The 15,171-nt window shown below is 35.5% G+C and overlaps 2 pseudogenes, besides 1 other annotated feature; both read left to right on the top strand.

Moving 5' to 3' along the window:
- Window positions 308-477: an enhancer, noted in NCBI's record as "experimental_94210 CRE fragment used in MPRA reporter constructs". NCBI's record gives its function as "activates a minimal promoter by MPRAs in K562 erythroleukemia cells, with activity observed for the introgressed 6:68178416 variant allele {active_cell/tissue: K562}" and the evidence as "EXISTENCE:reporter gene assay evidence [ECO:0000049][PMID:34662402]".
- RNA5SP208 (RNA, 5S ribosomal pseudogene 208) lies at window positions 1,607-1,684 on the top strand (annotated as a pseudogene).
- On the top strand, window positions 11,655-12,565 carry LOC100420211 (SH3 domain binding protein 4 pseudogene; annotated as a pseudogene).

Here is a 15,171-nt window from a genome sequence, read left to right as displayed (position 1 = left end):
AGAATATAGGAATACCATGCACAGTTAGACTAATTATCTAGCTAGTTTGGGATATGGAATATGACCTGTTTAAAATCCATGTCATGGCTTTTTTATGACAACCTCAGCTATTAGTGATATTTTATTAAGTATATCATTTTATTATCAAAATGTAGGGCCCTAACTCCCATTATTTTATATAAAATCTATAGAATATTTATAGCAATCAATAGAGGTGTAAACATAGATATTGTAATATGTAAATTTATGCAATATATTTTAATTTGAAATTATATAACTTGCACAACTCTAGTTGTATAAGTTAGATATCAAATTAAAACAATCAAATTTGATAATAAAAAGAGTCTCCATTAATAATTTTGCCCAATAAATTCATGCAATTTGAAAAAGATAGTCTTACAATTTCCCAGCAGTACTTAATTGGAAAACATGATATGGCACATTTCTAGGCTAAAATCTTTTATATTGATTTTTTTTGAGACATGGTCTAATTCTGTCACCCAGACTGCATCACAGCAGAAGTGATCCCCCCACCTCAACCTCCTGAGTATCTCGGACTACAGGTGCATGCCACCTGTAGAGACACGGTCTCACAATGTTGCCCAGGCTGTCTTGAACTTCTGATTTTAAGTAATCCTTCCACCTTGGCCTCTCAATGTTCACTGATTACTGGCATGAGCCACTGTGTCCAGCCTAAGTCTTAATGTGCATATACACACTATAAAATTTGGTAGTCTAAAATTAGTCATTCTTAGTTTAATTAAAGACACAGAATTTTGGCAGGGCGCGGTGGCTCACACCTGTAATCCCAGCACTCTTGGAGGCCGAGGCAGGCAGATCACTTGATATTAAAGCAGTTTGAGATCAGCCTGATCAACATGGTGAAACCCCGTCTCTACCAAAATTACAAAAATTAGCTGTGCGTAATGGCATGCACCTGTGGTACCAGCTACTTAGTACACTGACGCAGGTGAATCTCTTGAACCCAGGAGGCAGAGGTTGCAGTGAACCCAGATAGCGCCACTGCGCTCCAGCCAGGGCAACAGAGACAGAGACTCCATCTCAAAAATAAATAAATAAATAAATAAGTAAATAAAATAAATGAAAAATAATAAGCATAATATATGGAACAAAACTTTGCTAAAAACAAGCATAGTTGTATTAAAAGCTCAGGGATATGTTTTTAAATGAGTCACGTGTACAACATTTATTATTTATACTTGCAGGAATCTAACAAGTTTGTGTGTGTGCGTGTATTTGTGCATGTACACCTATGTTAGGATTTGAAGGAAAGAGGGTAAAATAAGTTACCCAAAGTCGAAGTGACTTCTGCTTGTGGCAATTTCCTGTGGTTTCTGGGAGCAGGCAGTTGAGTGTGCTATTGTCAGCAAAGGACACTGAGCAATAAATAAAGGACACTGGCTTTGTAAAACTGAGGGGATTCCAGGGGAACAAACAGGAAGGCAGCTCCGACTTTCACTAATCTTGTCACGTAAGGTCACCTTGGACGTATGATTAGAAAGCTAAATGATTGACTTGAATTATTTTCAATTCGGTTAATACATTACTAAGAAGTGTTTTAAATTGATTATAGAAGAGTAATCAACGCTAAGGGCATACTACCCTGAATGTGCCCGATCTCCTCCGATCTTGTGGGCTAATCAGGGTCGGGCCTGGTTAGTGCTTGGATGGGAGAACTGTGATCAAAACATCATACAGATTCCCCTGAGATGCATTAAGAAATCTTTCAGTCAAAAAAAAAAAACAAGAAAATCTTTCGGTAGAAACCTTCACTATTTATTATTTTTACTAATGTCTACTTTTTTTTTTTTTTTTTTTTTTTTTTTTTGAGACAGTTTCGCTCTTGTTGCCCAGGCTGGTGTGCAATGGCGCAATCTCCCCTCACCGCAACCTCCGCCTCCCGGGTTTAAGCGATTCTCCTGCCTCAGCCGAGTAGCTGGGATTACGGGCATGCGCCACCACACTCAGCTAATTTTGTATTTTTAGTAGAGATGGGGTTTCTCCATGTTGATCAGACTGGTCTCAAACTCCCAACCTCAAGTGTTCCTCCTGCCTCGGCCTCCCAAAGTGCTGGGATTACAGGCGTGAGCCACCGTGCCCGGCCCACTATTATTTTATTTCTTAAACTTTCTAAAATGTTCTTCCCTTAGATCATGAAAATCAATTAAGTATAAAACCAGGGTTTACAATGGATGTTATTCAACATGGAAGGATATGGGGAAAATTCCATGGTGTATTAATTATAAAATTAATATTATAAATTATATAATCTCTCTTTCCTTCAATTACAGTGGAAATGTGACCCTGTCCTACCAAAGACAAATCCTTCTACTTGTGTCTTGGAACCCATTTGATCTTGCTTTCTCAAGAAATGCTTTTCTACAGCTCTGCCCTCCTTCATCTCTAATGTTGACTTCTCCTTTCCTCTGGCTCATTTTTATTAGCATATAAGTGTACTTTGCATGAATCTTCTTGAAAAGAATACCTTCATTACATTTACTTTTGAATCTTCAGTTCATCTTTCAAATCTACTACTCAAATTGCTTTTGTCAGGATCACCAATCTTGCACAGCGTTGTACTTGGCTGTGTATTATCCTTAACTGCCACTATTTACATTCTCATTTGACTTTTCTTCTTTCTCTGACAAACCTTAGAATATTGGAATTTCTGAAAGCAGACCTAGCTTTGCATAGATGTATATGTGCGTGTGTATAAATATATATATATATATATTTGCTGATAAATGTTACATTTGCATCTTTAGTGTTGTTCACTTTTATAATCTTGGGTTTCTTATATCCATTATCCAACATAAAAAAGATTATTGTTTGCATGTCAAAAATAATGTTAAATATAATATATTCAAATTTGCATTTTCTATTTTCCCATTCCAAAATCTTTCTTGTCTATTCTTGCTCTCAGTGGGTCTCAGCTCATTCTGAGGCCAAATAACTATGAATCATTCTTGATTCAACCTTTTTTTCTCAATAACCCCACCCCATTTACATTGAATACATCAATGAATACTGTGGCAAATTTTAAATTCTCCCACTCTGGTGTGTCTCCAGATTTTTTAAAGCAACCTCCACTCTCACTGGTGGCACTACAATAACATTGTTAACACTCAATTTTGATTCAAAATTTACCCTCACTATCCACTTAGTAGCCAAAATGCTATTTTACAAGCCAGATCACATAATTTTTTAGTTTTAAAACAAATAAACACATCAAACCAAAATTATTACCTATGGCTTTCATGGCTAAACATATCTGTGTGCAATCCACATTTTGAAACTCTCCCTTTAAATTTTTCAGTGGTTCAATATATTCCAACACAAGAGACCACTCCTTCTCCCTGCTTATTTGTCTTTATATCATTTGCTTGCCATACTCACTATGGCCTGCGTTAGGAACACTCTTCCACTGGTTTGTCCCGTGACTCGTTCCTTCTCGTCAACTATGTCTCATCTCAAAGCGGATATCTGAAAGACCTGCCCCACCCATATTATTTAAAAGCCTGCTCACATCTTTCTATTTTAGTTAGTCTCTGGCACATACTTATCTCTTATTTCCTTCTTAGCACCTGTACTAATATTGCTCATTTGGATTTGTAAGCACAGATCTGTATAGTCCTTCCTCTCACCAAAGTTTATTCCATGAGAGTGAGAATTTTGTATTATGCTTCCTGTTGTATACTTAGCTTGTTGAACACTTTCTCACACAGGAGAGATACTCTGAAAATGTCAAGTTATAAAATGAATAAGATATTGATTTAATCTGCTTAAATTTATAAATGCCTAGTAAACACTAAAATAATGTATAAAATATTTAATAATTATTTCATTAGCTATGAGTATTGTTTTAACTAAAACTAAATTTTTATTTACAAATGAATGGATAAGTTATTACTTAGCTATACAATAGAAACTTACTTATTAATAAAAGCAATGAATTATTGACATGCAACAACACGGATGAGTATTAAATCACTATGATGAGCAAAATATCTAGACAAAATATGTATGTACTGTGTAATATCCTTTATATAGATGTATACATAATAGAGTTCTCTCTACAACAGAAAGCCAGTCAATGGTTGCGCATGTACAGAATCTAAAGACATGAGGAATATTAATATGTTTGGTGTGATAAAAATGTATTTTTATTGGAATTTTGGTTCCATGAATGTATGCATATGTGAAAATCCATCAAATTGTTCACTTTAAATATGTACAGCTAATTGTGCAGAAATTATTCTTCAATGAATTTGCAAAAAATACATCCAAATGAGAAATAATTTGGATTGGTGTTTCTTGGTGTTTCATTAGGAAATTCTTAAATTGAAAGTAAGCTTGAAGAGGAATGTAGCTATTTATTACTAGTGATAATGCATGTACCAAACACCATGGTGATAGGTTTTTACATTCCAATATGCAGACTTTTGTGTTAGGTACCCACATTCTGATGATGAGTGTCCTGCTGCAAAATTGAACAATGTCAAGTGAATCAAACTTCAGTGCAGTGATAATAATTGTTTTTCAGCAGAGAGGAAAGTATATTGACTATTTAAAATATAGTTTTTCTGCCTTCTCAGTAACTGGCATTAATTTTTCTTTGACAGCTGGATTCCAGCTGTCATCCATTTCAAAGAGAAATTATTTAGATATAAAATGTTTAGGTAAATTATTATTTTCCAAAATACAATGATTTAAACATTCTCATAAATCTGTAAGAGCAAAAGAGTTAGTACTTTCTCAAAACATAATGTTTTTTTCATAAATGTGTTCGCTTAATGCGTATTGATCTTACACAATTCTTCATATAGGTGTAATTATTTTCAATTAAATTTATTTTAATATTTTTCAGCATAACATGGGAGTCAAAACACATTAAATTGGAATCTTTAAAAGAATTTGGAATAAAATGATCAAAATAAAATAAATAACAATATAATGAAAATAATATTATATAAGTAATAATGTTAAAAACATATAATATTCATTTATAAATTACCTCATAGGTATACAGCCATTCAACTATTATTCAAGTAATACTAAGTGGTTATTCTGTGCCGAAAACTGTGCTGCACAATAGGACCACAAAGATGAATCTGACAGAAACTCTGCCTTTTATAATGGCACCCATTTAAAATTATTAATTATAATAATAAACATAAAACTATCTGCAGAGAAATAATACAGCATAATGATTAAAATACAGGGATTTTGGAGGAAGAAAAACCTGAATTTCTACCTTAGCCTTACTACTTCATGTAAGGTACTAGACATCTCAATTCCCTACCTTAAAAATGTGACTAGTAATACCTTCCCTGTAGATAAGGACTTGTGAGAAAATAAATGTTTGTCAATTATTACTCAGTCACTGGCAAAAAGAAAAACATAAATATATTTATATCCCTTGTATTCTCTAAGCTCTTGAAGAGGAGAAATTGTTTAATATACAATTCATTTTTAACCAAAAAATCAATATACTTGTGCAACCACCAACCAGATCAAAATGTAAATTTCCAACATTCCAGAAAACTCTTTTGAGCATTATTCATGTAATACTTTCCGAAGACAATCACTACAATTTTCTGCTTGAGTAATTCATGTAAATGCCATTATATAGTATGCAATCTTTGTTTCTTTTTTTTTTAATACATTAAGTTCTGGGATACATGGGCAGAATGTGCAGGTTTGTTACATAGGTATACATGTGCCATGGTGGTTTGCTGCGCCCGTCAACCCATCATTTACATTAGGTATTTCTCTTAATGCTATCCCTCCCTTTGACCCTTACCCCCTGACAGGCCCTAGTGTGTGATGCTTCCCTCCCTGTGCCCATATGTTCTTATTGTTCAACTCCCACTTATGAGTGACAACATGCGGTATTTGGTTTTCTGTTCCTGTGTTAGTTTGCTGAGAATGATGGCTTCCAGCTTCATACATGTCCCTGCAAAGGACATGACCTCATCCTTTTTTATGGCTGCATAGTATTCCATGGCATATATGGGCCACATTTTCTTTATCCAGTCTAACATTGATAGGCATTTAGTTTGGTTTCAAGTCTTTGCTATTGTGAATAGTGCTGCACTAAACATATGTGTGCATGTGTCTTTATGGTAGAATGATTTACAGTCCTTTGAGTATATACCCAGTAATGGGATTGCTGGGTCAAATGGTATTTCTAGTTCTAGATCCTTGAAGAATCACCACACTGTCTTCCACAGTGGTTGAACTAATTTACCCTCCCACCGACGGTGTAAAAGCGTTCCTATTTCTCCACATCCTCTCCAGTATCTGTTGTTTCCTGACCATGCTAACTGGTGTGAAATGGTATTTCATTGTGGTTTTGATTTGCATTTCTCTAATGACCAGTGATGATGAGCTTTTTTTCATGTTTTTTGGCCACATAAATGTCTTCTTTTGAAAAGTACCTGTGCATATCCTTAGCCCACTTTTTGATGGGGTTGTTTGTGTTTTCCTTGTACATTTGTATAAGTTCCTTATAGATTCTGGATATTAGCCCTTTGTCAGATGGATAGATTGCAAAAATTTTCTCCCATTCGGTAGGTTGCCTGTTAACTTTGATGATAGTTTCTTTGCTATGCAGAAGCTCTTTAGTTTAATTAGATCCCATTTGTCCATTTTGGCTTTCATTGCCATTGTTTTTAGTGTTTTAGTCATGAAGTCTTTGCCCATGCATATGTCCTGAATGGTATTGCGTAGGTTTTCTTCTAGGGTTTTTATGGTTTCAGGTCTTACATTTAAATCTTTAATCTATCTTGAGTTAATTTTTGTAGAAAGTGCAAGGAAGAGGTCCAGTTTCAGTTTTCTGCATATGGCTAGCCACTTTCCCCAATACCATTTATTAAATAGGGAATCCTTTCCCCATTGTTTGTTTTTGTCAGGTTTGTCAAGGGTCAGATTGTGGTAGATGTGTGACATTATTTCTGAGGCCTCTTTTCTGTTCCATTGGTCTATATATCTCTTTTGGTACCAGTATCATGCTGTTTTGGTTACTGTAGCCTAGTAGTATAGTTTGAAGTCAGTTAGCGTGATGCCTCCAGCTTTGTTCTTTTTGCTTAGCATTGTCTTGGCTACATAGGCTCTTTTTTGGTTTCATATGAAAATTAAGGTAGTTTTTTCTAATTATGTGAGAAAAGCCAATGGTAGCTTGATGGAAATAGCATTGAATCTACAAATTACTTTGGGCAATATGGCCATTTTCACGATATTGATTTTTCCTCTCCATGATCATGGAATGTTTTATTTTTACATCATCTGTGTGAGAGCCATCATATTTCCACATGAGGCAATATTTCATTTCTCATCAGTGGTATGAAATATCTGATTGTTTAGATATCTATTCTCATATATATATATAAATCTTAATTATTTTCAATTTGAGATTGTTATAGGTGATAGGTAAAGTTTATTTTTTGTTGTTAAGTTTGCATCAATGTTTGTAAAAAACAGTATGGTTTAGTGTTAAATCATGATATCTTATGGGTTATCAAGGCATACGATCAAGTTTGCCCCTCATTATAACAATGTTGATTATTTAACACAATCTTTCTAAATTTTCCCCACTATGACACACATGGAAAATGGCAGTATTTCTATGGCACAGGGGGTAAATGGAAGTGGTGCTTGCAGCCAGAGTTATGTAGCCTGGTAGCTCCAGCCATGGGGAGGGTGGAGTGGATTGCTAAAAGCACATCAGTAACCAGCTTGCAGGAATTTGTGACAGAACCATGTTATTTGTTCATTCTACAACTGTCATAAATCATGCACTACAATATTTAATGGATAAATACTGTTCTTCTGGAACTAAATTGGGAAGATGGGTCACCATTTATAATTAAATGTAAGCAGTAAGTACGCAACCACACTGTTTAATGCCATAATTCCCAAAGTGTGGCTCCTGGACCAGCAGCATATATGCCTCCAATGTAAATATCAGGGCTGCTGGTTGCAGGACTCATTGATCTGCAGTTTAACAAGCTCTTCAAGTGATATCGACGTCTGCAAAAATTACGAGAACCACTGCCTTAGCAGAAGCACACTCAATGTCTTGATTTTAACACAACTGCAGACTGGAACACAGGCAGCTGTGCAGCCTTAGGGCCCTGTGCCTGTACAGGAAGACTCTGGCCTATGTAGGGATGCCTGGTCATTCCAGAAGATAGACCTATGTGCCAAAGCTACTGGTGTTTGAGGGCCATGGCCACCAATAAACAGGTCTCTATCTCCAGGCAGATAGTGCTGAGTTCCTGCTGCTCTATTCTTTTTCTTGTCTTTTAGAGCCATAGGCACTCATTTCTGTTAAGAGTATATTCAATTTTAGTATTGGTAGGTCATGAGTTTATATATGTTTAGCTTTAGTAGATATTAGCAAACAATTTTATAAAACAGGTGCACCAATTTATACACCTGCTAGCAGATACTGGCATGTATGGGGCCCTCAATAGAGGAACTTATTTTAACTGACTTAAGTGTTCACTGAAGAAATGATAAGCAGAAACTTCTAAATACAGACAACAGAGAAAATGCATTCTAGAAAATAATCAGGATATGTATCACAAACCATTATGCAACAGATGGGTATTGTCACTGATACTAAATAAGTGAGCATGTCTTGAGCTGAGGTCAAGTGAGTAGATGTGAGATGCAATCTTTGAAAAGTGTGAGATAACCATTTTATAAATCAAGATTCTGAATTTTAAAATTAAAAACAATAAAACATTACAAGTCATCTTTTGTGTATGTTTACATTGTTCTATACTAACTCTTTCTAATCTGTACAAAAAGACATACTAAGTTCGTGGAATATCCATAGTTGTTTCATGAAAAGGGTCTACATTACCAAAGCATTTGGTATATTTTGGCATTCTGGGTCCCAAAAAGTTGTAATGGTTCTCTTACTGTATTACTTCTCAGAGTCTTGATGTCCTACATTAGGAATCTCCATTAGGCAAAGGAAGACAGCTTTTCCAAATCTTACAAGATGGGGAAATTTTTCTCTTATTAAGTGTCTTGTAAAGCAATGAGTTTTAAGTCTGCATTTATCTGTGGTACCTGAAAACCTGAAGTTAAATAGAGAAAGAAAGCAATGCTTAGTCACCTAATCCTCGCCTCTACCTGCACCAACCTGTTTTCTTTAATAGTTGCACAACTATGATTCAGGTACATATTATCTTTAAACTACACAAATGAAGAAAAGACTAAAACAAATTTTGGTAAAATTTGTAACTAATATAATTTAATGGAAGAAAATATTTTCCTAGTATTTTCTCATAATGTGTAAGGAAAGAATGCTTGCCAGAATGACTATGAGGCAAGATTAATGGTAGTGATGGGCCTTAGGTAATAGATATATTTGGCAGATACAAATATTATTATGTGTAGAACAAAGAGTTCAAATTAAGGAATAATATACAGAATATTATACAAGTATGAGTCTGTGGTGTTTGAAATAATAGATGTAAAAAAGGAAATATTAAATGCTGAAAAAGAGTATTATAACTAGGTCAGTATGGAGTAGAATTATGAGACTTTTCTGAATTGAGTAGAAATATGATTGGGGCTGTATAATGTGAGAATTCACATTGATGATTGTATTAGGCAGTTCTTGCATTGCTATAAATAAATACCTGATACTGAGTGATTTATAAAGAAAAGAGGTTTACTTGGCTTATGGTTCTGCAGACTTAAGGGAAGCATGGTGCTAGCATCTGCTTGGCTTCTGGGGAGGCCTCAGAGAGCTTACAATCATTGCAGAAGGCAAAGGGGGAGCAGGCACATCACATGGACACAACAGGAGTGAGAGAGGGAGAGAGAGAGGTGGAGTGAGGTGTCACACAATGTTTCAGGAAGTCAGGGACCCCAAACGGAGGGATCGGCTGGAGCCACAGCAGAGGAACATAAAGTGTGAAGATTTCATTTTAATATGAACATTTATCAGTTCCCAAATAATACTTTTTTAAATTTTGCCTGTCTTAATCTCTTAATCCTGTCTTAATCTCTTAATCCTGTTATCTTCGTAAACTGAAGATGTAGGTCACCTCAGGACCACTGTGATAATTGTGTTAACTGTACAGATTGATTGTAAAACATGTGTGTTTGAACAATATGAAATCTGTGCACCTTGAAAAAGAACAGAATAACAGCGATTTTTAAGGAACAAGGGAAGACAACCATAAGTTCTGACTGCCTGTGGGGTTGGGCAGAAAGAGCCATATTTTTCTTCTTGCAGAGAGCCTTTAAACGGATGTGCAAGTAGGAGAGATACCGCTAAATTCTTTTCCTAGCAAGCAATATTAATATTACCCTGGGAAAGGAATGCATCCCTGGGGGAGGTCTATAAACAGCTGCTCTGGGAGTGTCAGTCTCATGCAGTTGAGATAAGGACTGAGATATGCCCTGGTCTACTGCAGTACCCTCAGGCTTACTAGGGTCGGGAAAAAACTCTGCCATCGAAAATTTGTAGTCATACTGGTTCTCTGCTCTCAAACCCTGTTTTCTGTTGTTTAAGACATTTATCAAGACAATATGTGCACAGCTGAACATAGACCCTTATCAGTAGTTCTGCTTTGCCTTTTTCCTGTTCCCTCAGAATCATGTGATCATTGTTCTGCTTTTTGCCCTTTGAAGCATGCGATCTTTGTACCTACTCCCTGTTTTACACCTCCTCCCCTTTTGAAACCCTTAATAAAAAACTTGCTGGTTTGAGCCTCAGGTGGGCATCATGGTCCTACCGATATGTGATGTCACCCCCGGTGGCCCAGCTGTAAAATTCCTCTCTTTGTACTCTTTCTGTTTATTTCTCAGCCGGCTGACACTTATGGAAAATAGAAAGAACCTACGTTGAAATAATGGGGGCATATTCCCCTGATAACACACATTTAAACAACTAAATTTTGCAAGAACTCACTCACTATCAAGAAGATAGCACTAAACCATGAGGGATCCACTCCCATGACCCAAACACCAGGCCCTATCTCCAGCATCAAGGATTATAATTCAACATGAGATTTGAGCAGGGACAAGCTATATCAATGATCTACTGTTTGTCATTGGAAAAACAGAAGTTTAGAAGCAGTTGCAACATTCTTTCAGGGTGCTCTGTAGGTATCATCTAGGATAGTGATGATGAGAAGATAAATCACAGGACATGTGGGATAGCTGTTCTTAAGGAAAAATCTATAGTCCTTAGACTAAAAAATATAAAAAGAAGCTGAAGTATTTGAAACTGTGTTTGAATATTAATAAAACTTCAGTGAATAAGATTATTTTGAAAAAAATTATAATTTTGGTTGTTATTGAAAAATTATAAATTTGGTTGTTATTTAAAACATGGTTTGCATTCAGGTAAAATTTTCCAGTAACAAATTGTGATTACAGCACTGAGACTTTGTAGATCATTAAGGATTAGTATTTTGATCTGTGATCCATCCATATAAGTAACAGTAAAAACCACTAGAATGAATGAGATAATTGAAAGTAGCTTTGTAGATAAAGAAAGGAATTTTTCTAAGAGTAAAATTTATTTAGCAAATGAGTGAATAAAGAAATCAGAGAAGACAATACAAAAAGAAAAGTAATAGAGGTATATGAAAAATTGAAAGGTCAATAACCATGAACAAGACAGAGTTGTGAGAGGATTCTAGGTAAAGCAAAGCAAGGTAAACTGCCAAATATCCCCATCTCATATCATAACCAATGAGCTCTCTGAATTCACACTGAGGTTTAAATGTAAAATAACCAAGGGGCTTTTGACTTAATTTTGCATATAGACCCCTCAGCCATCACCCAAAAGTGTTATCAAGCCATCTAGGCAAATAAATAGTCTTAACAAAAATAAAGTTGAAAAAATAAAATTGTTCCCATTTATTCCAACAACTAAGGGCCCAACGATTTGGGGTCACCAAGTGTCTAGCCACAAGATTGGCAAGCTGCTTGGGACTATGGTGAGGCAGAGTAAAATCCAACTGCTGTAGTACAAGTAGGACAACATGTTAGCTCTGCTCAGTGAGAAGACAATTACATTGAAAGGACAGCCGTAGATTAGGGAGTGATACATAGGTCATTACAAGAGGAAATTGAGGCTTGTATACAGCAAACATGGACTTATCATGAGGAAAATCAAGATGAGCTTATTTTCAGGTACTGAACTGACCTCCTTTACGCTGCTGTAAAAGATTCTGGGACTGTGCAAGTTCCTCACTGCAGCTATGCCTTCAAGAGGACCTTGCCCATGAAGAATATCAGCAGCTGGTGGTCTTTGCAGATGGCCATGTATCTACCTCTCACCTTTTTGTTGTTGTTGTTGTTGTTGTTGTTGGGTAGGATTGGATAGGAAACCTAACTGGGTGACTTCTCTTCTCAAAGAATTGAAAGAGGACTGTGATAATACCAAGAAAAAACATAGAAAAGCCTTTTAGAAGAAACTATTGATGGCCTTATTGAAATGGACTTCCAAAGACTGGTGGTCAGACTTCCCCAGGAATTTTTGCTCCAGGCCAGAATAGTTGAGGTGGTTTAGTGCTAAAGAAGTGGGAAGAAAAAAAAAAAAAAACCAACAACTTTGGAGTACGCTTAGCTGGACTCAATACCAAGGAACCGATTTTCTGTCCTTCGTCTTCCACACAATTTTCTATCCTTTTCCTCCATCACTGGGGAGGCCTGAATGGATTTTCTACTGTGGGGCTTTGTAAATAATATGAATATCTCTCTACTTGGTAGGTATAAATTTAAATTTAAAATCACTTTTTTTAAAAGATATGCTGGGTGGGGAGCATAGGGGAAAATTGTTTTCTAATTTTTTATGTGAACCACAGAAACAAAACAAACAAAAACACTTAATGAAGAAAGATGCTGTCGAGGTTTTAATGCAGTGTAAGGACCTTTTAAATTTATGTTACATACTTAAATATATATTTCAGGTATATTGGAAGCATTTCCAATTCCCAGCCATGCTTTGCATTTCCATAATTAACACAGAAAGGCAGTTGTCTGAGTGCTGGGCCTTGCAATGGATTGAATGTTTGTGCCTCACAGAATTCATACATTTAAATCTTAAATTTCAATGTGATGATAGTATTAGGATGCGGGGCCTTTGGTAGGTAATTAAGTAATCAAGGTGGAGCCCTCATGAATGGGACTAGCACCCTTATAAAAGGAATCACATAAAGTGCTCTTACTTTTTCTGCTATTGAAATATACAACAAGCAGTGAACAGTCTGCAACCTGGAAAGAGAACATACCCTAGAACACACCCTAGAACACAACTGTGATTGCATCCTGATTTCAGACTGCAAGCCTGCAGATCTGTAAGAAATCAACATTTATTTTTTATTAGTCACTCAATCTATGGTATGTTGTTACCACAGCTAAAACAGACTACAACAGGTCTTTTTCAACCCATACTTGTAAAAATAATTTAAATCAAATATAAAAGTGTCTTTTTTCAGTAAATGAGTATTTCATACAAGCTTTTTTTTTTTTTCTCAGAATGCTCTAGTCCCTACTCTCCCTTCTAATTTTAATGATCCTCAATACCAGTTGCTCATGTTATAGAAAATGATCTTCCACAGTGATTCTTTTGTGAGCTTTCTTGGACAGAGTTAAATTCTGTATTAGTAACTAAGTGTCACTGAGATGTTTGTGCCAATAGATTATAAACTATCTGGGAGTTGATGTCTTTACGAGGTCTTGCCCACTGTAAACTTGGGCTCCTGTCTATGTGTGATTAGTCCATTCAGAACAATACCATGTTGGGGGAAAGAAGCTTTCTATATTTTTAAGACATTATTAAATATTTATCTCTAGAAGGGATGTGAGTTATTTCTACAGAGCTTATCACCTCTTCTTGACTTTGTTGCCAAATCAACACCTTAATGATCACTGACTTTTCTAATGCCCATTGTAAATGCTATGGTTTCATCTGAAATGTGACCCCACTCCTTGCTAGTATGCTCACATCTCCTTGGGAATAAATAGCATAGGTCAAACCCATTTTTTACAATATAAATATTATCTAAATGGAATTAATATGTTCCAAAGCTGAAAGTGTTTCTCACCTAAAATCAGAGGCATAGAGTAATGCTGAATTAAGAAAAATAAACTATAGGATGGAGATAAGCTTGAATATGAGCACACATATTTGCATTATAGATGTGGCATCTCAGAAGAGAACAAGAGGCATAACTGATGAACTATCTGCCAGATTAATAGACTGTGATGATCCCCAGTGATATGCAAGGGCACACACTGTGTTTGTCTTTCGTAGTGTTGGACAATTTGGGATCCTTAAATCTCATTTTCTAGATGAGCGTATGGTGCTGAAACGTTATACATATACTGATTCAGATACTGAACACCAATAGATTTTTAAAAATACTAGAAGATTTATGTAAGAAGAACTGGAACACACAATTCTCCAACCATCCTACAAAATAACAAATTAAATTTTGCTTCTCTTCACTGTGCCACAATTCTTCTCAAGGATCATTTCTCACTTTTTCCTCCAATAAGAAACAAAACCAGTTACACCATAAATCAAGGATATTTTTCATCAGAGGATTTATATAGTTCTGTATGCAATATCTTAGAGCACAAATTAATTTCTTAAATGTTGCAATAGATTTTATTTGAATATTTTAACTTATTTAAGTTTACACAGCTAAACTAATTTTTTAATTAAAAAAAAGAAAGAGATTTTTGCAGTGAAACGCAGATGACCTCAAAGATTTTTGTTCTATTTCATATTATAGTGTTGACTCTAGAAAGAGGGAATTATGAAAGAATATAACTATTTCTAGACAATAGAATAAAATAGAAATGGTGTATGACACTGCTGTGAAGAGATTAAATATCTTGTGTACATTCCCCACTGCTGTTTACCTTTTTTAGTTACCAAGGAGGTAATACGTTGAATAGGGCAGCGTCCTAAAATGGAATGAGTCTCGATACCTTAGTAACAGCTTGAAGAAAAATTTCCCAGAAAAAAACACTCAACCAGCATCTCCATTAGATTTTTCCACAAGTAATGAAGAACTATGAATTGAAGTTGCATTTAAGCCCCAAGTGCTGTAAATTTTACTATAAAAGAAGTTGAGGAATTGCAGGAAGATATAATCAAAG

Source organism: Homo sapiens, chromosome 6, assembly GCF_000001405.40.
Source record: "Homo sapiens chromosome 6, GRCh38.p14 Primary Assembly".
Lineage (NCBI taxonomy): Eukaryota > Metazoa > Chordata > Mammalia > Primates > Hominidae > Homo > Homo sapiens.
The sequence above is the reverse complement of the archived record's forward strand: the minus strand, read 5'-3'. Positions and strand labels throughout refer to the sequence as shown.